The 23,463-nt window shown below is 41.8% G+C and overlaps 1 protein-coding gene across 7 annotated transcripts in view, besides 2 other annotated features; it reads right to left on the bottom strand.

The window, feature by feature from the left end:
• CHRNA5 (cholinergic receptor nicotinic alpha 5 subunit) overlaps positions 1-14,778 on the bottom strand; it is a 29,750-nt gene extending 14,972 nt beyond the window's left edge. For all 7 annotated transcript variants that reach the window (NM_000745.4, NM_001395171.1, NM_001395173.1 and 4 more), the window contains exon 1: positions 14,473-14,778. In NM_000745.4, coding sequence (NP_000736.2) covers positions 14,473-14,578 — 106 coding nt within the window. In that variant the 5' untranslated portion in view covers positions 14,579-14,778. The remainder of the gene's footprint in view (positions 1-14,472) is intronic.
• Positions 14,491-14,580: a silencer, noted in NCBI's record as "silent region_6713". NCBI's record gives its function as "represses an Ori minimal core promoter by ATAC-STARR-seq in GM12878 lymphoblastoid cells {active_cell/tissue: GM12878}" and the evidence as "EXISTENCE:reporter gene assay evidence [ECO:0000049][PMID:35858748]".
• Positions 15,391-15,580: an enhancer, noted in NCBI's record as "active region_9920". NCBI's record gives its function as "activates an Ori minimal core promoter by ATAC-STARR-seq in GM12878 lymphoblastoid cells {active_cell/tissue: GM12878}" and the evidence as "EXISTENCE:reporter gene assay evidence [ECO:0000049][PMID:35858748]".

Raw genomic sequence — 23,463 nt, 5'->3', positions numbered from 1 at the left:
TTTTTTTTTTTTTTTTTTGAGACGGAGTCCTGCCTGGTCTCCCAGGCTGGAAGTGCAGTGGTGCAATCTCGGCTCATTGCAACCTCTGCCACTGGGATTCAAGCAATTCTCCACCTCAGCCTCCCGAGTAGCTGAGACTACAGGTATCCACCACCACGCCTGGCTAATTTTTGTATTTTTAGTAGAGACGGGGTTCCACCATGTTGGCCAGACTGGTCTTGAACTTCTGACCTTCAGCAATCTGCCCGCCTCAGCCTCCCATAGTGCTGGGATCACAGCTGTGAGCCACTGTGCCTGGCCTGTCATAATCTTAATATGAAAATATATAAATATTGAATGATTGATTTAGCTTTGACATACTTTGCTACTATATTTGTATAAAACTATACATTTGTATAAAACTGCTTTTTAGGGAATAAGGAAGGAAGAACTCGAAGATAGCAGATAGCATGCTGTCCTGGAAGCTAAATGAAGAAAATGCAGCAAGAAGGGTTGAGCCTCCCAATCTACTGATGCTACTCATGAGACATGGAGAGGCAGCTGAGAACTGAGTGTTGGATTAGCAACAGTGAGGTCAATGGTGAATCTAACAAAAGCCATCTATGGGAAGAGAAGAGAGATGAACTGCAGTATGTTTAAGACAGAGTGCAAAGACAGGAATGATCTCTTTCCAAAAGTTATGCTGATATAGGGATACTGAGGATAAAGAATCAAGAAAGGTTTATTTCAAGATCAGTAAAAAAAATAAATAGGCGGTGGCTCACGTCTGTAATCCCAGCACTTTGGGAAGCTGAGGCGGACAGATTACCTGAGGTAAGGAGTTCGAGACGAACCTGGCCAACATGGTGAAACCCTGTCTCTACAAAAAATACAAAAATTAGTCAGGCATGGTGGCACACGCCTGTAATCCCAGCTACTTGGGAGGCTGAGGCAGGAGAACTGCTTGAGCCCGGGAGACAGAGGTTGCAGTGAGCCGAGATTGTGCCACTGCACTCCAGCGTGGCCAACAGAGCGAGACTCTGTCTCAAAAAACAAACAAACAAACAAACAAACAAACAAATAATAAATAAATAAATGTATGTATATGTGAGAATGTGAACATGGTTGGCTAAATAATTCACAGGGCCCAATGTAAAATGAAGATGAGGAATTCCCGTTCAAAAATCAGGAAACATGTGCCATTAAATATACTAAAAAGAAACTTGTTTCTTCAAAAAAATCTATTTAAGGACCTAAGTTGTTAAAAAAAAAAAAAAAGTCAAAATATAAAATGTTTTGGATACTATGGCCAAAGACTGGTTAGATTTGGGGATCACAGTTATGCTTATGCTACTACAGAGCTCAAATAAGCATCTCTGAAGAAATGAGTTTTCACTGTTGTCTGGCCTGGGATCACTTAAGGAAATGTGAAATGTATAAAAATTCAAGCATGACTTTTACTTAAGACTAATGATATTACGAAAAAACCACTTTTACTTGAAACAAAAATGTCACTGGCTTATTAATCAGCAAATATACACATAAGGATTACAGTAGCAAGTGATTGTTCTTCTCCAACCTAAAAGAAATGGTTGGAGAGAAATTAGCACTTTCACAAAATCTTCTCTTTATGATGATAGACCATGTTTTCCATACAGAGATATGAAAGAATATCCAGGTACTCTAGCTGGAGGAAACCTATTTCCTGGTTCTCTTTTTCATAAATAACCTACTCCTCAAGAGTTTGTGTCCTGCTTCCCTGAATAACTAGTTTAATTTTAAAAAATTATTTATTTTTTATTTATTTATCTTGAGACGGAGTCTCACTCTGTCACCCAGGCTGGAGTGCAGTGGTGTGATCTCGGCTCACTGCAACCTCCACCTCCCAGGTTCAAGTGATTCTCTGTCTCAGCCTCCCGAACAGCAGGGACCACAGGCACACGCCACCACGCCTGGCTAATTTTTGTATTTTTAGTAGAGATGGGGTTTCACCCTACTGGTCAGGCTGGTCTTGAACTCCTGACCTTAGGTGATCCACCCGCCTCGGCCTCCCAAAGTGCTGGGATTACAGGCGTGAGCCACTGCGCCAGGCAGTAACTAGTTTAAGATACTTAGTTTAATCTACAAATACTATGGAGTTTGTGTGGTGACGCCTGTAAAAGTCACCTTATGCTGAAATGCACAGCATTGAAGATATTTAGATTAATTTAGAAAATTATACACTAGAGTCATTCTTAATGTTTAAAAGCCATTAATTTTAGAGCTTCAAGTTAAAATAGCATTATTGAACCATTTCTCCTCTTCTAATCCTCCTATAGTCCCTGAAATACCAAAAATTTAAGGGTTAAAAGATAAAAGTATTAATAAATAAAATGTCTTTTTTTTTTTTTTTGAGACAGGGTCTCTGTCACTCAGTCTGGAGTGCAATGGTGCAATCTTGGCTCACTGCAGCCTCAACCTCCTGGACTCAAGCGATCCTCCCACCTCAGCCTCCTGAGTAACTGGGACCACAGGCGTGCACCACACCTGGCTAATGTTTTGTATTTTTGGTAGAGATGGGGTTTCACCATGTTGCCCAGACTGGTCTTGAACTCCTGAGCTCAAGCGATCTGCTAGCCTCTGCCTCCCAAAGTGCTGAGATTACAGGTGTGAGTCACTGCACCCAGCCTAAAATGTCTGTCAATAGCATCTAAAGGAACCTTTGCCTGAGTGGGGGAAAAACTAGCTTGAGTCGCTATCTCAAATCTTCTTTGAAAGAAAGTAGACAGGGTATAAATAAAATAGTAATCCCAACATTCTACCTAATGAGAATCTTCAAGATACTGCTTTGTGAATATCTTCGTAATACATCCCATACTAGAAATACCATTTTCTTAGGACACTTTACAGCAGTGTCCAGTGCAAATGTCAAAGGTATCTTAGCATAAAACCTTGATAGTGCACTTAAATTCTTCTTAGCAGTCATGCTTTTTTAGCTGGCTGTAAATGTTTTAAGTTTCCACTGTTCACAAACCTCAGCATGTTAAAAAGGAGACAATCCAATGCATCCCCTCATTTTACAAATCAGGATATACGTATGAAAAGAAGGGTTGCTGCTACAGAGTTCATAAACCGCAGGGCTCTGAGGGGCACCTTGGCTTCATGCTCTCATCACCCTAACATCTTCCATCTTGTGACAACTTTCTAGATTAACTTAATGAATGCCACACCCCCGATAGCTCTAGCCCACATTGATGTTTACTTATTCATTCATTTAACAAACATTTATCAGACAGGCACTGGGAACACACTGGTAAACAAAACAGACAACATCGACATTTACTATCCAGTAGGAAAGACTGACACTATATGTAAGGTAAATTCTAAATAAACTGAATCAAATGGAAAAATTCTTTTTAGAAGTTGTTTTAAATAGTTAATATTTGCTCATCCTATTCAAAATGAACACTTTTTTGGCATCTCTATAGCACTACATATAGGCTGATGACAGTAATTGCTTTTTTTGTTTTTTTTTTTTTTTGAGACTGGGTCTCGCCCTGTCACCCAGACTGGAGTGCAATGGCGCCATCACGGCTCACTGCAGCCTGGAACTCCTGGACTCAAGCAATCCTCCCACCTCAGCCTCCCTCCTATCTCAAGCTCCCACAGAGCTGGAACTACAGGTGCGTTCCACCACACCCAGCTAATTTATTTATTTTTTGTAGAGACAGGGTCTCTTTTTGTAGCTCAGGCTGGTCTTGAACTCTTGGGCTCAAGCAATCCTCCCACCTTAATCTCCCAAAGTGCTACAAGATCCACCACGCCCGGCCTTACTTATTACATTATTACATTTTAATTTTTCTTCCCTTCCTTGTCTTAAAAATAGTTGACTTGGGCCAGGCGCGGTGGCTCACGCCTGTAATCCCAGCACTTTGGGAGGCCGAGGCAAATGGATCACTTGAGGCCAGGAGTTCGAGACCAGCCTGGCCAACATGGAGAAACCCTGTCTCTACTAAAAACACAATAATGAGCTGGGCGTGTAGCACGCGCCTGTGGTCCCAGCTACTAGGGAGGCTGAGGTAGGAGGATCTATTGAACCTGGGAGGCAGAGGTTGCAGTGAGCCAAGACTGTGCCACTGCACTCCAGTCAGGGAGACAGAGAGAGACTCTAACTCAAAAACAACAACAAAAAAAAAAACAAACAAACAAAACAAAAAACTTGACTTCAAAAGATCCCTTACATCAAAAGGATATACAACCCAGAGAAAATATTTGCAAATCATGTATCTGATAGGGGACTTGTATCTAAAATCTATAAAGAACTATTATAAATGAATAATAAAAAGATTCAATAATCCAATTTTTAAATGGGCAAGAGATCTAAATTAACTTAGACATTTCTCCAAAGAAAGGCCAGTAAGCATATGAAAAGATGCTCAACACCTTTAGCCATCAGGAAAACACAAATCAATACCACAATGAAACAGCACTTCACACCTAATAGGATTGGCTATAACCAAAAAGATAGATAAGTTACTCAACTTTGGATATGATTTTTCTTCATCTGTGACACAGGTATTAAAAAAGTACCTCCCTTATGAGGTCATTGTAAGGATTAGCTAACAGTGTAGATATAAGTGCCAGCACAGGGTCGTTCTTATTCTTCCATAAATGATTGCTAAAGTAATGGTAACTGATAGACCAACAAAGACTGTCTCCAGACAGTCCCAGGCAATGGAACTTTGCAAAAATACAAAGGAAGAATATGCTTGTGGCATTGGGCACTCTTAACACAGTGCAATAATGGGTCACTATAAAGCTTTCCTCAAGTCTCTTCTTGAAACCAAATAATAATAATTATAATACAACCTGCTAATAGCATATAAACCACATATCTCAGAAAAACAAAGGAAACCAAGCAGTGAAGCACACTAAAAATAGGATAAGAACAAAAAAAAATTAAATGGGATAATTCTTCTAAAGTAGTTAAAAGTACAGCTGCTAAGAGAAAAACTAAGTTGAATACCTAACAAAGGTATAAATGTGTATACAGTAATGTCACTAACACTTTTATATATTTACATTTTGGTTTTACAAATTCAATTTTAACTCTTACTATCATTCATTGCCTAAAGTTTGAGGAACTGGGAGAATGACATTTAAAAAAATCACAGTCAAATCATTTGGTGAAACCACATTTATTTTCAAAGAAATGTAACCTTGCTCCTTAGTTTTAGTATGGTGAAAAGGAAAGGACACAGAACTGCAAAGCTGAAAACCTTAATTTGAATACTTGGCACCACTAATAAGCTGTTAACCTCCATCCATAAGCCACAATTTTTTTCCTTTCCTTTTTTTTTTTTTTTTAAGACAGGGTCTCACTTGGTCGCCCAAGCTGAAGTACAGTGGCACGATCTTGGCTCACTGCAGCCTCGATCTCCTGTGCTCAAGCAATCCTCCTGCCTCAACCTCCCGAGTAGCTGGGACAACAGGCACTCGCCACCATGCCCAGCTAATTTTTTTGTAGAGACAGGGTTTTGCCATGTTGCTCAGGCTGGTCTTGAACTCCTGAGCTCAAGAAATCCACCTGTCTCGGCCTCCCAAAGTGCTGGGATTACAGGTGTCAGCCACCGTGTCTGGCCCACAATTTTCTAGCCTATATAAAATAAGGATATCTGTTAGCAATATGTCAATAATTGTTAAATGGGTATGGCAACGACTTTTTGATTCATTACTTTGGACCATTCTTGTGAACATTATTTTTCCATTAAAAAACATTAATAAAAAGGAGAACCTCTGCTTAGCTGCTTCACTCTCGTCTGAATCAAATGAAATAAAGTACATTATCTTACTATGTTAGGTAGTGTCTAGGTAGTTTAAGATTTTTTTAAAAAAACCTTCTTCACTAAATATAGTATGTAGCCAAAAAGATACCTGAGGATTTTTTTTTTTTTTTTTTGAGACAGCGTTTAGCTCCTGTTGGCCAGGCTGGAGTGCATTGGTGCGATCTCGGCTCACTGCAACCTCCACCTCCCAGGTTCAAGCAATTCTCCTGCCTCAGCCTCCTGAGTAGCTGGGACTACAGGCATGTGCCACCACGCCCGGATAATTTTGTATTTTTAGTAGAGACGGGGTTTCTCCATGTTGGTCAGGCTGGTTTTGAACTCCCGACCTCAGGTGATCCGCCCGCCTTGGCCTCCCCCTGAGGATTTAAAAAACCAATTCTAGGCCGGGCACGGTGGCTCACGCCTGTAATCCCAGCACTTTGGGAGGCCGAGGTGGGCGGATCACGAGGTTAGGAGTTTGAGACCATCCTGGCCAACATGGTGAAACCCTGTCTCTACTAAAAATACAAAAAAAAAAAAAAAAAAAAAAATTAGCCAGGCGTGGTGGTGCACGCCTGTAGTCCCAGCTACTCAGGAGGCTGAGGCAGAAGAAGAAGAATCACTTGAACCTGGGAGGTGGAGGTTGCAGTGAGCCGAGATTGTGCCACTGCACTCCAGACTGGGTGACAGAGTGAAACTCCGTCTCAAAAAAAAAAAAAAAATTCTAGGAACATTTGATAGTGCTTTGCTCTGGCATTTTTCCATGAAGAATCATGATTTTCTTATCAAAAGGTAATGATTTGGAAAAAAGTCAACCAACATGTTCAGCAACTAAATGTGGATATTAGCAGTCTTTTGCCAACCTGCAGATAAAAACAGACATTAACTATAATTTAAAGTTTCTGCCACAAATTATTCTTAAATCTTTAGCATCTGCTACAACTTGGCCACACTAGAGCCTAACGTGATATCTTGTTCAATTCGTTAATTCAACAAATGCCAACTAGCTGCTTACTGTGCCAACCTCTGTGCCAGGTGCCAGAGGGAGAGCAGAAAACGAAGACCTGGTGCCTGTCTTCCTGGGGTAAAAACTTGCATATTTATTTACCTTATTATATCATACTTATAATTCTATGGCTATGCAAAGTACACCCCACAGTGAGAATGGCGCCCCTGCCACTGCACAGTGCATCACCTGCATATTCCAACAGCACTGCAGCTCTGGAGTCTAACACAGGATTTCTCAACTTGGCACTACGGACATTTTGGGCTGGACAATTCCCTGTTGTGGAGGGCTGTCCTGTGCCCTGTATGTTTAGCGGCATCCCTGGCTTCTACCCACTAGACATACCACCGCCCCACATGACAACCAATCATGTCTCCAGACATTGCCAAATGTTGGTGAGGGGGAGCAAAACTGACCCTTCTTGCAAACCACTGTTGTGACACTAGTAGCTAATAAGCAGCAGAAGTAGAACTAGGACCCAGATTTATTTTGTTTTTTCTCAAAATGATGCTATAATTGCAAAAGGAATGTGTGGTCACTGTCAAAATTCAAATCCAGAAGCTCATAAAGAGTAAGAATTCTCCCTCCTCCTCTCCTTCGCCTTCCTTCCAAGGGTAACCATTAAGTTTGACGTGTAGATATTTTAAATTACATGCATGTTCACTCACACACAGAAACATGTTTTCCTCTAAGTTCTGCAACTTTTTTTCATTCAATACTATATACCAGCCAGGTGTGGTGGTTCACGCCTGTAATCCCAGCACTTTGGGAGGCTGAGGTGGGGGATCACTTGAGGTCGGGAGTTCGAGACCAGTATGACCAACATGGAGAAACTCCGTCTCTACTAAAAATACAAAATTAGCCAGGCGTGGTGGTGCATGCCTGTAATCCCAGCTACTTGGGAGGCTGAGGCAGGAGAATCACTTGAACCCGGGAGGCAGAGGTTGCAGTGAGCCGAGATCACGCCACTGAACTCCAGCCTGGGCAACAAGAGCAAAACTCCGTCTCAAAAAAAATAAAATAAAAAATAAAAAACACAACTATATAAACTATATACCAGTAGATGTCCAACTATCTCCAGTCTTCCTTCACAAGCTGCAAAGTGATCATTATGAGTGCATTAGACTTTATTTAAGTTTTCACCACTGATTGGCATTTATAGTCTTCAGTTTTTGGTTATTTCTAATAATGTTACAATGGGAAAAAATGCTGTAATTAACAAATCTCTTTTTCCATACTGATGCAAAGATTTCTATAGCAATGATTCTCAGAAGTAAAACTGCTGAGTCAAGGGGGCGCACATTTTAAATCTTGCTAGGTGCTGCCAATATCTTCCTTTTCTTCTTCACAGGCTGCCATAAGAAGGAAATAAGATAATATATCTAAAAAGATTTGAAGAGTGATGTATATTATACCTCCCCAATTCATAATCAAGGCATTCCTGGAGCAGTTAATCTACCCCTGAAGTCTCCTTGCATCTTTTTATAAGTTAGCAAAAAGTGACTTGTACTCTTTTGAAAAAAAAATCCTCTTTGCAGCAGTCCTAGGAGGGCTATTTTAAGCAACAGCAAGATAAAGCAGTGAACGTAACCATTTTGTAAACGAGGGAAAATGTGTATTATATCCAACATTTTCAATGTGACAAACAAGAATGCTTACCAATCATTATTTTAAGTATTACAGATAAAATATAGAGGGATTTTTTTCGCTCCAGGATTTTCATTATATTTTATATTGATTTTTATCACAGAATTATAGGATAAAGTTACACTGTAACTGCTATGCCTTAGTAAACTTAATATCTTACCCTGACTCTCAGAACACTCGCAGTAAGAAAATGAATGACCTTAGGTGGTATTAATTTAGGTGCAGTCAATAGTTCTCGAGGAGACGAGACAACTTGTACACTTCAAAAAAAAAAAAAAAAAAAGGCAGAGCATCATCAGATCAAGTAAATGCAGAGTTCATTATCTTAATTTGGGGCTATAAATCTCTCAACAGGCTATAAATATGTATTATGAGCTAGTATATTTACAATATTATGGAATAAAACACCTAATGGTGCATGAGGTTGCCTGTATGACCTTGAAAAGACTCTTGCAAATTTCCCCCTTAGAGATGTCGAGTTATGAATGAATACTAAGGACTGGAAGAAAATATGGAAAAGTGAAGACAGCTGCTTTGTTAGGACAGCAGGATAATGCTTGTTTTCTTAGCTTCTATTAGCCTTACATTGTTTGGGCTACAATTCATTGTAAATTCACTATTTCCATAATTACTTTCATCGGCTTCCCTTGAGAGTTCACCCAGTTGGTATGAATGTGGACTTTTCTACAACCTTGCTACTTAATTGTGATACACTGACCAACAGTATTCACATCACCTGGGAGCTTGTTAGAAATGCAGAGTCTCAGGCCCTGCTTCTGACCTACTGGATCAGCATCTGCGTTCTGAGGGAATTCCTGTGTACATCTAAGTTTCAGAAGCCCTGGTCAACAAGACCTAGAGAAGTGGTTCTCAAGGGGTAGCAAATGTGAAGAACAATTTTGCCCCCAGGGCACATCTGACAATGTCTGGAGACATTTTTCAGTGGGTGCTACTGGCATCTCATGGCTAGAGACCAGTATGCTGCTAAACATCCTACAAGGCACAGGACGCCCCCCTCTGACAACAAAGAATAACCCAGTACAAAATTTCAGAGGTTGAGAAATCCTGACCTAGAGGAAAGAGTTTTGCCTAATTCCATACATACAGTTGAATGTAAAATAAAAATGAAAATAAAACCAGATAAAAATAAAACCTAAAAGTTCATATCACCTTTTTTGTCAGAATTCAAATATTCATATTTAACTCCTATTTTTACTGGTAAAAGGCTATATTTTATAATCACACTTTGGAAGAGAAGAGCATGAAGTCACTGAATTAAACACAGTAGGAGGGGCCGGGCGTGGTGGCTCACACCTGTAATCCCAGCACTTTGCGAAGCCAAGGCGGGCGGATCATTCGAGGCCAGGAGTTCAAGACCAGCCTGGCCAACATGGTGAAACCCTGTCTTTACTAAAAAAAAAAAAAAAAAAAAAAAAATAGCCGGGATTGGTGGCACATGCCTGTAATTTCAGCTACTTGGGAGGCTGAGGCACGAGAATCATTTGGACCCAGGAGCCAGAGGTGTCAGTGAGCCAAGATCACGCCACTGCACTCCAGCCTAGGTGACAGAGCAAGACTCTGCCTCAATAAAAATAATAAATAAATAAACAGTAGGACAAACAATATCATGTTTCCTCAAAGGAGAACAAAACATCTAAATTAACATTTTTCATCATAGAACAGAAAAGGATGATTTTAAATAATCCTTTCTATCATATTGTCATTATAAAACTATACCCAGGCCAGGCGCGGTGGCTCACGCCTGTAATCCCAACACTTTGGGAGGCCGAGGCAGGCGGATCACCTGAGGTCAGGAGTTTTCAAGACCAGCCTGGCCAAAATGGAGAAACCCCATCTCTACTAAAAATACAAAAATTAGCCAGGCATGGTGGCACATGCCTGTAATCCCAGCTACTTGGGAGGCTGAGGCAGGAGAATCACTTGAACCCAGAGGCAGAGGCTGCAGTGAGACAAGATCATGCCACTGCACTCCAGCCTGGGCGACAGAGTGAGACTCTGTCTCAAGAAAAAAAACAAAAACAAAAACAAAAAAAACACTATACCCATGCTGTTCTGTGGAACAGATGTTTAAAGAAACAAATTCTAAACTTCTTTCAAAAACAATTCCAGGCCGGGCACGGTGGCTCACACCTGTAATCCCAGCACTTTGGGACGCCGAGGCGGGCGGGTCATGAGGTCAGGAGATCGAGACCATCCTGGCTAACATGGTGAAACCCCGTCTCTACTAAAAATACAAAAAATTAGCCAGGCGTGGTGGCGGGTGCCTGTAGTCCCAGCTACTTGGGAGGCTGAGGCAGGAGAACGGCGTGAACCCGGGAGGCAGAGCTTGCAGTGAGCCGAGATTGCACCACTGCACTCCAACCTGGGCAACAGTGCAAGACTCCGTCTCAAAAAAAAAAAAAAAAAAATTCCAATATTTAACAACTCTAATTGTCGACATGCTTATTTAATAGTGAACTTAAACTATCATCTGATAATTTAATTCCAATGCTTTAAGAAAAATAATGCTATTAGAAGAAAAAGTTCTGTACTGAAATTACTGAACTAAAACTTCATATCCTAATTATAAAAAATTACTTGCTAGATCTCATTTGTAGATTATAGGTTGAAAAAAAGCTCAGAGTTCAATCCATAGGCTACATTAATAAATGCAGGTATATCTGCAGTGTATCAGGAAATACACAGACAAATGAAATCCTACCCTCCAGCTGCTCAGTCTAGTTCACATATTTAGTATTTCTTGGAAATCAAAATAATTTTAAATTGCAAATTAAATTGTGTATAAAGTTTACGTAAGGACATATATATAACAAAAGTAAAACTGACAGTCAGTATGTGTGTATTTCTGTTAGCTTCTGAAAATGTTAATGAAAATGACTAAAGATGAGAAGAAAAAAATCTTTCATAGCTCTCATTTTCTATGAATTATTTCATTTTCCTATTTCATTTTCAGCCACTACATATAGTAATTAAAATTAAGGTTCAGCCATTTAAAATGTCACATAGCGTGCAGCCATAAAAAAGAATGAGTTCATGTCCTTTGCAGGGACATGGATGAAGCTGGAAACCATCATGCTCAGCAAACTAACACAGGAACAGACACCAAACACCGCATGTTCTCTTTCATAAGTGGGAGTTGAACAATGAGAATCCATGGACACAGGGAGGGGAACATCACACATCAGGGTCTGTCGGGAGGTTGGGGGCAAGGGGAGGGAGAGCATTAGGACAAATACCTAATGCATGTGGGGCTTAAAACCTAGATGACAGGTTGATAGGTGTAGCAAACCACCATGGCACATGTATACCTATGTAACAAACCTGCAGGTTCTGCACATGTATCCCAGAACTTAAAGTAATATTTTAAAAAAAAAATTAAAAAAATAAAATGTCACACAGCTAAGAAATATAACCATTGGCTTTAAAATGTCACATAGCTAAGAAATAGTAAGAAATATAACTAGTTAGGTAGTTAATGACTATCTAACTTCCATAATCACTGTCCCAATCACAGGTCAGTTTAAAATGCTTGTATTATCTTGATGTACTAGTTCATTATACTTTAATATATTATACTTTAATTGTCTCCTGAGCCACTTTCCACAGCTCTGTGACCGTTCATCAGCCAAATAATAGCTGCGGGCTGACTAGATATTCTCTTTACCTGGGAACTGGCTCACAGAAAACCACAGGGAAAAGTTACTATTAAGAACCTAAGACGAATATGAAAACAATAAATTGTAAAAATAAAGGTAATTATATTTGAACTTAAAAAACTTAAAGTTGACTTAAAAACATCTACTACCGCCCTTTCATTTTAAAGAGAGAGAAACAAAGAATCAGCAAGGTCAAGTAATACGTCCAAGGAAACACAGACAGCGAGTGGCAGGTCTCCTATTTCCAGACAGTACTTTCAGCCACCCACATGGAACGACAGTTGTACACAAATGCATATTAACAGTTAAGAGCAAGTGTGCAATTACATCATCCATTCAGTATCACTTTGTTCTTCAAGATGATCACTTCTAAGAGCACACAGAATCTTATAATTTTCAAGGTGGAAGGGGGATCCTTTAATGGCCCCTCACCATCCAGATGGAGAAACTAATATCCAGAGAGGTAATACTGTTCCACTCCTTCCTTCCGCAAACCTTCACTGGGCTCCTACATTAAGGCAGGTGTTGGCGATACAAAGATAAACAAGAATCACAGTTCTTAAGGAGCTTACGTGGAAGCAGGAGGAAACAGAAGTGCAATAGAACCAGATGGTTATTATGAGAGAGATATTAACTAAGTGGGGCAGAAAGCAGGAACTAATCGATTTCACTTTGTTATAACACTGAACACCATGCATGAAGGGAGATAGCTATTTACACTATTTAATGCTTGGCTACAGTGTTCTATATTAAAAGACATGAAACAGATTTTTAAAGTTCAGTTTCATCAAAAGGGGTAGAGAACTACCATTTTCTCGAGTGTCAGGCACTGTGCCTGGCATTTTATATGCATTATTTAATCCTCAAAAGAACTCTGAGAGGTAAGCATGATTATTACCCCCATTTCTTTTCTTTTCTTTTTTTTTTTTTTTGAGACGGAGTCTCGCTGTGTTGCCCAGGCTGGAGTGCAGTGGCGCGATCTCGGCTCACTGTAACCTCCGCCTCTCGGGTTCACGTCATTCTCCTGCCTCAGCCTCCCGAGTAGCTGGGACTACAGGCGCGCACCACCACGCCCGGCTAATTTTTTTGTATTTTTAGTAGAGACGGGGTTTCACTGTGTTAGCCAGGATGGTCTCGATCTCCTGACCTCGTGATCTGCCCGCCTCGGCCTCCCAAAGTGCTGGGATTACAGGCGTGAGCCACCGCGCCCGGCCCGCCATTTCTTAAAGAAGGAAAACAGCTGAGAGAAGTTCGTCCAGTCAGGATGCACCAGAGCCATAATTTGAATACAGGTTTGCCTGGCTCCAAAATCACATTCCTTTCTTTCTGTTTAACTCTCTCTGCCCAGGATTTTCTTCATTTGTTTAAATCACCCTCCATCTTATTTCTCTTCGGTCTACACTAAGCAATACATCCTGCAATGAATTATTCTAGTCTTATTACTTCCTAAAATCAGGAGCCATAGATTAAAAACCTTAACAAAGGAAAGGCAAGAAAAGGTTCTTGCAATATTTCCACTATTTAAGAAACTCACTCATAAAACCTGAAATACAGACGTAGTGAACTTCTGTAATCATATCTTGCTTAACGGATGCTTAGCTTTTCTACGTTTAGATCACACCATAGCTGCTCCACAAACGTGTTTTTCTTCAAGGTATTGAGAGAACTGACTCTAAAACTTTCCCAAGCACTTGAAACATGTAGGACTACGCGATTTCTTTTGTTGTTTCCATTCCTGTCCAAAACCTCTTGAAAAACAGCAGGCTGAAAAAAGCTGTGCTCTAAGGAGCTAGTGAGGAACTCTGGATGCAAACGATTAGCCCCGAAGCCAGGGAAGTTGGCCGCCTAGCCTGCTACAACACACACCTTTCATCTCCGGCGAAAGGAAAGGTTTTCAAATGCTGCGGTGGGTAGGGGACAGGGATGGAGGAAGAGGCGGCGGGCAGGAGGTGGAAGATAAGTCCCAACCCCTAGAATGAACCCCAGAGTCTCTATATCCCGTAAATGGGCAACAAAATGGGAAGCTTGGCTGCCACCAGGACAGGAAAGCCCTGCTGGACAAGAGTGGCATCTTTTACTGAAAAAGTTGTGTGGAAGTATACGCTAAGCCAGCCTCGTAGTCTCCAGCGATGCAGGTCGTGGAACAACAAAGAAAACCCACCCAAGTAGCCCTTTCTCTGCATTTAAATGAGCAAATCTGGACATTTAAACTGAAACCTCACTCCAAGCCCCCAGGAGAAAAAAACCCACCTCCCCTCGCAACCAGGTTTTCCGGCGGCCGTCGCCTGGCGGCTTCCTGGGCACCGCGATGTGGAGTCCGGGCCAGCTCCCGCCCCGCCCCTCTGCAGCCCGGGCTTACCTCTCTGCGCGCCGCCCGCCGCGCCCGCTAGACCGCAGCGCCCCGCGACCAGCTGGACCAAGAGCAGCAGGCGGAGCGCGCGGGGCCCTGACCCCCGCGCCGCCATCGCCCCGCGCCCGCGCGGGACCGCGGGCAGCCGCCTCTCGACCGCCGCGCGGGGAACGCGAACTCTTGGGGAATGGAGCACTGAGTGTGAGTCGTGAGACAAAACGAGGGCAGACGCAGCAGAGGGGCCGCTCCGCGCCACAGCTCCCGCCGGGACAGCAGCCTCAGCCTAGCAGCTTCTGGCGGGCTCGGGACGCATGTGGAAGCTCCCGGCGCCTAGCCCCGCCCCTATTTCCCTCTGGCCCCGCCCAATCCTCGCCTTGTTCCTTTTGGCCCAGTCCGGTCTATTCATAGCCCCGCCTCCGATCCCCACCAACCCTTTCCCCACCCCGCCCCGCCTCTGGTCCAACCCTGTCTGCTCCTAGCTCCTCTTTTTCCACGCCTGGCCCAGCCCCATCGCCCTGGCCCCCGCCTCCAGGCCTTCCTTTGGGCAGGTGCGACCCTGGAGCAGAGTTCCAGGAAGGCAAAGACTTGAGGCTGGCATCGCAGGCGCGTCCTTCTCTAACCACCGGATGTCCTTGGCCTAGTCACTGCACACCTTAAGATAACAGCTATTCATTGATGTCTGCTCTGTGCTCAGCACCAAAAGGGGAAGCAGAGGGACAGATTGCTCCCAGCTGATAGAAAATGTAAATAAAGTAATTCCGAGTTGTGATCAGAAAGAAACAAGCTGGAGGCTGGGGCAGAATCACAGTGGTGGGGGACTTGCTCCAGGCTGCAGCGCTCTCCATGGGCCCCGCTGCCCACTCAAGTCTTTCTCACCAGGAAGTACCAGTCGCAGCTTGACTGCCTCCTGGGGCTGTCGTGTCAGCCAAGGGGTCCCCACCAGGAGACCTGTGTTGTGGACCAGCGAGACAACCCTGGGCAAGTCACTTTCCTCTCTGGGCCTGTTTCCTCGTCTGGAAGCGAGGAACCGAGGCAGATAAACTAGAGGACTCGGGAAGGTACAGCTCTGACACTCACTCAAGCCATCCCCGGAAATGATATGCAGTCGCCTCAAACGTGGGCATCGCCCTCCGTGTTGTCATCAATTAACATTTGTAAATATTAGTGACTATCTGCTACAGACACTTAGCACCTCTGGTGGAGATTGGTGCCGACTGCTGGAAACCCGTCTCAAATCCCTCCAGACCCTATATTTCATCCTCTCTGTCCATAATTAGAAAGCTTCATTTGGCTGAAGGGATTCAGGCGAATTATCTTTAAACTTCAGTGGCAGAGGGAGCCGCTGACTCTTCACAGAACGCTTTATGGAGGTGACACCTCTAAGACTCATTGTGAGCAAAAATTTCACTCCACCCTCCAGACTAGTAAATCTGTGAAAAACTAAACCTGGTTGCAAAGAATCTAAACAGCAAAATTCAGTGAAGATGCTCTTCTTAGGTCCAAATACAGCTGGAAAAATGTAAATTACATCCAATGGAGCCAATCTGTTTAAACAGGACTTAAACAAAGGGGCCACAGAAAAGGGATGCACAAGATGTTAACCAGATTAGTAATTAATTGCACTTCTGCACAGAAATGAAAGACAGTACCTATCATCCTTTCACTGCAAATTTACATTTTACTCTGAAGAATTTATGGGACTTACAGGCACTTATGCAATTCATCCTAACAGTGTTTGGATGACTTTAAAATGTTATTCTGCTTTTACAGCTAACTGATTTGAAACAGAGGAGTTGAATAACTGCTGAAGGTCACAGTACCTGTCAGTGGCAAAACTAGAATGAAATGGTTGTCAGTGCAGCCACTGCAAGTATAATTGGAACTCCTAGATGTTATATCAATAATCATGAGAATGATGGTTATTTACATAATCTATGAAAAACACTATTAATTGTTGCTATTAAGTGAAAGGCAAAGCGTGACATTTGTTGGGCATTTTAAAATCCAAACAAATAATCAGAATATAATGTCTACATCTTACATGGTTTTTCCAGGGGGATACGCCAATTACTCATGGTTGCTGGATATGGTGCTACACCTGACTCTGATAACAGGCATCTTCACACTGCTAGGAGACATTAGCTGACCAAATGACAATGAAAATTGCTGCTGTTGCTGCAGCCACCACCTACAAAGTTCCCCTAAAGTGGCATCTATCTACCAACTTTCTGAGACTTAGCCAAAGGGACTATTACACAGTTCTTGCATCCCAGACACCACCTTTTCCTCTGAAGATTGTGGAATTTTTATTACACTTTCCTGTCTTCATTTATCCTTCCTTCTCCCCTCTTCTGAATATCCAAACCCACGCTTTCTTCAAGGCTCATTTCAAATGCCACCTGCCTTCTCTTTATCTATTTCTCCATAATTATGTTCTCTACTAGATAGTGGATTTCTCAGCCTAGAGGCTATGTCTTTTTTTTTTTTTTTTTTTTTTTTTTTTCCTAGTAGAGACAGGGCTTTACTCTTGCCCAGGCTGGAGTGTGTAGCAGTGTGATGATAGCTCACTGTGGCCTCAACCTCCAGGGCTCAAACTCAAGCGATCCTCCCTCCCCTGCCTATCAAGTAGCTGGGATTACAGGGGTGCACCCCTACAACCAGCTAATTTTTTTAGTTTTGATTTTTTTGTTTGTTTCTTTCTTTTTTTTTTTTTTTTGGTAGAGACAAGGTCTAACTATGCTGTCTAGGCTTGTCTCAAACTCCTGGGCTCAAGAGATCCTCCCACCTCGGCCTCCCAGAATGCTGGGATTAGGAGTGTGAACCACCATACCCAGCGGGGCTATGTCTTGTTCACCTTTATAATACCTACTTGCCAGTCAGTACCTTGCCATAGAAAGTAGAATTTAACAATTATCTTAACACTGCTAAGTAATGGGGACTGTAAGAATTTAAACACGTTTTAATATGCTAGTTCATTTAGTATCAATATTACAGGAGTGGTACTTTTATTATCCTTGTTTTGGCCAACACCTTCTCAGTTCTCTTGGCAGGTTCCTCCTCTTCTACCCAGGCTTTGCATGTTGGAAATTCCAGAGGCTCAAATCTGGGACCTATTCTGTCTCTGTAAACTTCCCCCCTCAGTGATCTTATTCACTTCCCTGGCTGTAAATACCATCCATATATTGATGATGACCAGATTCATACTCAGATAGGTGCTGATCTCACCTCTGAGCTCCAGTGTATTTGACTATGTACTTTACATCATAATCACTTAGTTATGTCACTTAAGATGTTCCAAACCATGTTATCCTCTTAGCCTTCCCATCTCAATCAATGATACCACCATCTGACTAATTACTCAAGCTAGAAAACTGGAAGTCATCCTGAGTTCCTCCCTCTGCTTCACCCACCGAGTCTAATTCAACTCTAAGTGCTATTTACCTGGAATTTATTTATTTATTTATTTATTTTTATGTATTTATTTTTAAGAAGGAGTTTCACTCTTGTTGCCCAGGCTGGAGTGCAATGGTGCGATGTCAACTCACTGCAACCTCTGCCTCCCAGGTTCAAGTGATTCTCCTGCCTCAGCCTCCCAAGTAGCTGAGATTACAAGCATGCGCCACCAGGCCCAGCTAATTTTGTATTTTTAGTAGAGATAGTGTTTCACCATGTTGGTCAGGCTGGTCTCGAACTCCAGGTGATCCACCTGCCTCAGCATCCCAAGGTGCTGGGATTACAGGTGTGAGCCACCGTGCCTGGCCAGCCTTGAATTTATTTTGAATCCATCTCTTGTATCTCCTTTCCACTCCTAGTTTATTCAAATGCATCTCTATCTTAGACTCCTGCCCCAGCCTCTCACTGGGTCTCCTTCCCTGCATCCTCCAACACACTCTCCAGATGGCAGCCTGAGTGATTGTCTTCAAACAGAAACAAAATCCCAAGTCCTTGTCATGATTCTTAGAGGGGCCCCCGCTACGCTCACAAACTCCACATCACACCCCTCCCCTTTGCATGCTAAATTCCAGCCACATGGGCCCCTTCAGTCCAGGAACCACCAAGCCCAGTCCCACCCTAGGGCCTTCACACATGCTGTTCCCTCTGCCTGGACTAATCTCTCTCCACCCCTCCTCCTCCTCTGCCTTGCCTAACTCCTACTCCTCCTTCAGCACTGGGCTGATCGTCACTTCTTGTATGAAAGCAATCTCTCTAAGTTGGGCCCTGTACTCCCTCTGCTCATTACTTTCACTGAATAAATGAATCCAAAGATCTGAGAGCTAGCGAGCTAGAAAATAGTGGGCAGGGATTCGAATCCAGGTGACCTGACTTCAAGGACTTAACCATTCACTAAACTAAAGTTAATCTCTTTAAGCCCTATTACTAACTTTTTAAACAGTGCCATAAAACCTGCCTCACAGAATGTAAAGTTCATAAAGTCCTTAGCACAGTGCTTGAGTGTTCAATAGATGGTAGCTATTATTATTTATGTAGCAATTATTCTCTGACGTACTTTCATCCTTACAAAACCCTTAAGTAAAGGGCAGTTGGTGCTTTGGAGTTAAAAAGAGAGTGCATGGAAAGGGAATTAGGAGGCCAAGTAAATAGCAGACATCAAAAATAAACATTGTCATCTGTGAGTGGTATGGCCTAATGAGTTGTCTTTTATATCAATGTTGTTCACTTTTCTTTTTTATAATGGGGTCAACTGAGCTAAATTCAGAGCTAGGCAGCTTCTCTGAATCTTCCATTCAGCACTTCTATTATGGCTTGGTAATAAATTCTGCCGTGAGCCTTTAAGATGAAAGCCAAACTGAAAAGTTAATTAAAGATAAAAATGGATGCTGTCAATTTTACTGCTGAAATTAAATTCATTTTCACAGATTAAAAGAAAAAAGCAAGTTTTGATGGGATATTAAAATTCAATCCTTCATAAGAAATGATATAAGAAGTAAAGGTCTCTTTCAAGGGCTATTTCAGTGACCACAATCAAAATGTAAAAGTACAGACATATTTTAATGTGGAGAGTTTTAAAGAAGAAAATTAATTTGCCACATTTTTATTAGATTGTAATAACTAAATAGTAATGCATAAAATCAAATATCACAAAAATATAAGCCATATATAAAACTAAGCCTTCTCAATAGAATTTAATAATAGCGTATATATCACACAATGTCACAGGTTCAATTACCAATAGAAAAACGCATGTTAATAAGGAAATGGCAATTCAGCTACCAAACATTTTTTTTTTTTTTGAGATGGAATTTCACTCTTGTTGCCCAGGATGGAGTGCAATGGCGCGATCTCAGCTCAGTGCAACCTCCGCACCCCAGGTTCAAGTGATTCTCCTTCCTCAGCCTCCCAAGTATTGGCATTACAAGCATGCGTCACCACGTCTGGCTAATTTTGTATTTTTAGTAGAGATGTTTCACCATGTTGGCCAGGCTGGTTTCGCATTCCTGACCTCAGGTGATCCGCCCGCCTCGGCCTCCCGAAGTACTGGGATTATAGGCATGAGCCATCACACCTGGCCTACAAAACATTCTTGTTAAAAATGAAGATACTGTTTTTTATTTTAAGAAAGTGCAATACAATATCCCATGTCCCCTAAATGTTGAAAGCTTTTAAATCTGGGAGTGATGAATTACGTTATAAAATAATTTTTCTTTTTAAGACAAATATGAATTTCCATAAAGTCCTTGAGTAATAATTTTTAATATGCAAAAGTTCAACATTTGTCTACTAAATAAAGACACCTTATTAGGAACATATAAATGTGTGTAATATAAATATGTATTGTCTGTTCTCCATAGATGATATACTATTATAAATGTTAAAATGAAACTTATGCTTTTAATTTGATATCTACAAGATACAATTACAAATATTCAATTCTGTGCAAAAGGTAGAATTGGAATATTTTTCTAATATCAAATATCTAGCCTCTATCTCTCCCTCAGGCTTTCTATTCTGGACATGAGAGGTATTTATAGACACTGCTATGTATACCAGAAGTGAATCCAAAGTACAATTTATACTGCAGGTTTAGACCACAAATGTTCCAGATATTTGTGGCTATAGACCAGGAGAACTGCCATCTTAGAATTTAATGTATTGATTGCCAAATTATTGGTTCCCAGATTAATTCCCCTTCAGTCAAGAGATATTATAAAATTCTGATTCTCAAAAGCACAAAAAAATCCAAAATTAAATATATTTCATTTCCATGTGTAATTTGTAAACTGCCATATATTGCTTTTAGGGAAGTAATGGTAAAATGAAGATAGAGCTGCTTCTCTGATATGGTTTGGAATCTCTGCTTTAATTATCATCTCTTCTAATTTATTTAGCAAGGGTTCACTTTCTCATCTAGCTTCATTTCCCGTGGAATACTAATTGACATCAAGGTTTCTATAGGGATAAGAAACAAGACCAGATGAGCAACCTCTCAGCAATAGAAAAAGCTCCTTCGGAAGATTATGTATGGCATTGATTGTTTCAGGGAATTGATTGTCTTTAATCTAATTCTAAGCCACCTGATCCAAATCTCTTAAAATTGGAAATCGTTTGGTAATTTCCAGTTCCACAGCTGTCTCACACAAGACACAATCTTTCCTTGCTCTTCTAGAACATGGCTGATTAATTTTAGGTGTTTTAAATTTTTTGAAAACTGAAGAATACTTCAAGTCACCTGTATGGAAAAGGGTATTTTGATCCTTGATTGTATCTGATCTTCTCAGTCATTGGTGAACCAGAATTGAAACTGCTTGTGTTTCTAACACACACATGATCTTTTCAATGCTTTATGGGATAACAGATTGGGAAATACAGAGAGCTCTTGGCATATTGGGAATCGCACAGCCTTTGATTTGTGGAGTCAGATAAACATGAGTTTGAATCTTTGCTGTCACTCCCAGCTATTCATTCATTCGTTCAACAAATATTTAAGAAACAACTCACGTATACACCAAATTCTAGGAATGATGCAGTGAACATGATAGTTAATGTCCCTGAATTCTTGGAAAGTACTGCCTTGGGAAGGAATGCAAACAATAAACAAGTAAACAAAGCCGGGCGAGGGGGCTCACGCCTGTCATCCCAGCACTTTGGAAAGCTGACGTGAGAGGATTGTTTAAGGCCAAGAGATCCAGACCAGCCTGGGCAACATCAAGAGCCCCCTTATCTCTACAAAAAAATAAAATAAAATAAAATTAATTAGCCAGGTGTGGTGGTGTGCACCTGTAGTCCTAGCTACTTATGAGGCTGAAGTGGGAGGGTCGCTTGAGCACAGGAGTTCAAGGGTACAGTGAGCTATGATCATGCCTGCTGCTGCACCCTAGCCTGGCCAACAGACTGAGACCTTGTCTTGAAAAAACAAACCTTGGCCGGGTGCGGTGGCTCATGCCTGTAATCGCAGCACTTTGGGAGGCTGGCGTGGGTGGATCACCTGAAGTCAGGAGTTCAAGACCAGCCTGGGTAACATGGTGAAACCCCATCTCTACTAAAAATACAAAAATTAGCTGGGCGTGGTGGCATGTGCCTGTAATCCCAACTACTTGGGAGGCTGAGGCAGGAGAATCGCTTGAATCCAGGAGGTGGAGATTGCAGTGAGCAGACAGTGCGCCACTGCACTCCAGCCTGGGTGACAAGAGCAAAACTCCATCTCAAAAAAAAAAAATAAACTTTGCCTTTAAAAAAACAACATAAGACCTTGTCTTTAAAAATAAAATAAAAAACAAGTAAGCAAGATAATTTCAGAATTTGATAAGAACTATTGAGGAGGGCTAGGTGCAGTGGCTCATGCCTGTAATCCCAGCACTTTGGGTGACCTACGCAGGTAGATCACAAGGTCAGGAGATGGAGACCATCCTGGCCAACATGGTGAAACCCCGTCTCTACTAAAAATACAAAAATTAGCTGGGTGTGGTGGCGCATGCCTGTAATCCCAGCTAACCGGGAGGCAGAAATTGCAGTAAGCCAAGATTGTGCCACTGCACTCCAGCCTGGCGACAGAGTGTGACTCTGTCTCAAAAACAAAAACAAACAAACAAACAAAACTTGAGGAATAACTAGAAATTGATGCAGTGGGGGGTAGGGGATTTTACTTTTAATCAGGTGGTCAGGAAATGCCTTCCTGACAAGATAACCTGAGTTAGGACAGAAGATGGAGAAAGTGGCAGTCATGCAGGATGGAGGGGAAGAGCATTCCAGATACAGGGGTGATCTAGCTAAAGACCCTTTGGTAGAAAAGAGCTTGCTACGGCCGGGCACAGTAGCTCATGCCTGTAATCTCAGCACTTTGGGAAGCCAAGGCAGGAGGATCACTTGAGCTCAGGAGTTCACCAGCCTGGGCAACATAGTGAGACCTCATCTCTACTAAAAATAAAATAAAAATTATCCGAGTGTGGTGGTGCACACCTGTAGTCCTAGCTACTTGGGAGGCTGAGATGGGAGTATCACTTGAACCCAGGAGGTTGAGGCTGCAGTGAACTATGATTGTACCACAGCTGTGGTGACAGAGAACATGTCTCTCAAAAAAAAAAAAAAAAAAAAAAAAAGAATAAAGAAGTTTGTGAGAGGGAGGGGCAGAGAGGAATCAGGGGTACAGATTCTCAACAAGATAGGGGGACAATGGAAAGCTGGGGCTAATTCCGGTTTATATTGAAGATTGTATTATTTGGGCAGGTGGGAAGGAGTCCTCTTTAAGCAAAGAATATGACAATACAAGCCAGGTGTGGTGGCACGGGCCTGTAGTCCCAGCTACTGGGAAGGCTGAGGAGGGAGGATCGCTTAAGCCCAGGAGTTAAAGTCAAGACTCAGCCTGGGCAACATAGCAAAACCCTATCTCTACAAATAGAAAAAGAATATGATAGTACAAATGTGAAATTGCGTGTGAAATTGGATATTTACTTAGAACAAAAAAATTTTCAACAAATTACATTATTTTTTGGACCACAACACTCAAAGCCAGAACAAATTTTGTAAAAGTTGACAAACATCACA

The sequence above is a fragment of the Homo sapiens genome, chromosome 15 (genome assembly GCF_000001405.40).
Source record: "Homo sapiens chromosome 15, GRCh38.p14 Primary Assembly".
In the NCBI taxonomy this organism is placed as follows: domain Eukaryota; kingdom Metazoa; phylum Chordata; class Mammalia; order Primates; family Hominidae; genus Homo; species Homo sapiens.
The sequence above is the reverse complement of the archived record's forward strand: the minus strand, read 5'-3'. Positions and strand labels throughout refer to the sequence as shown.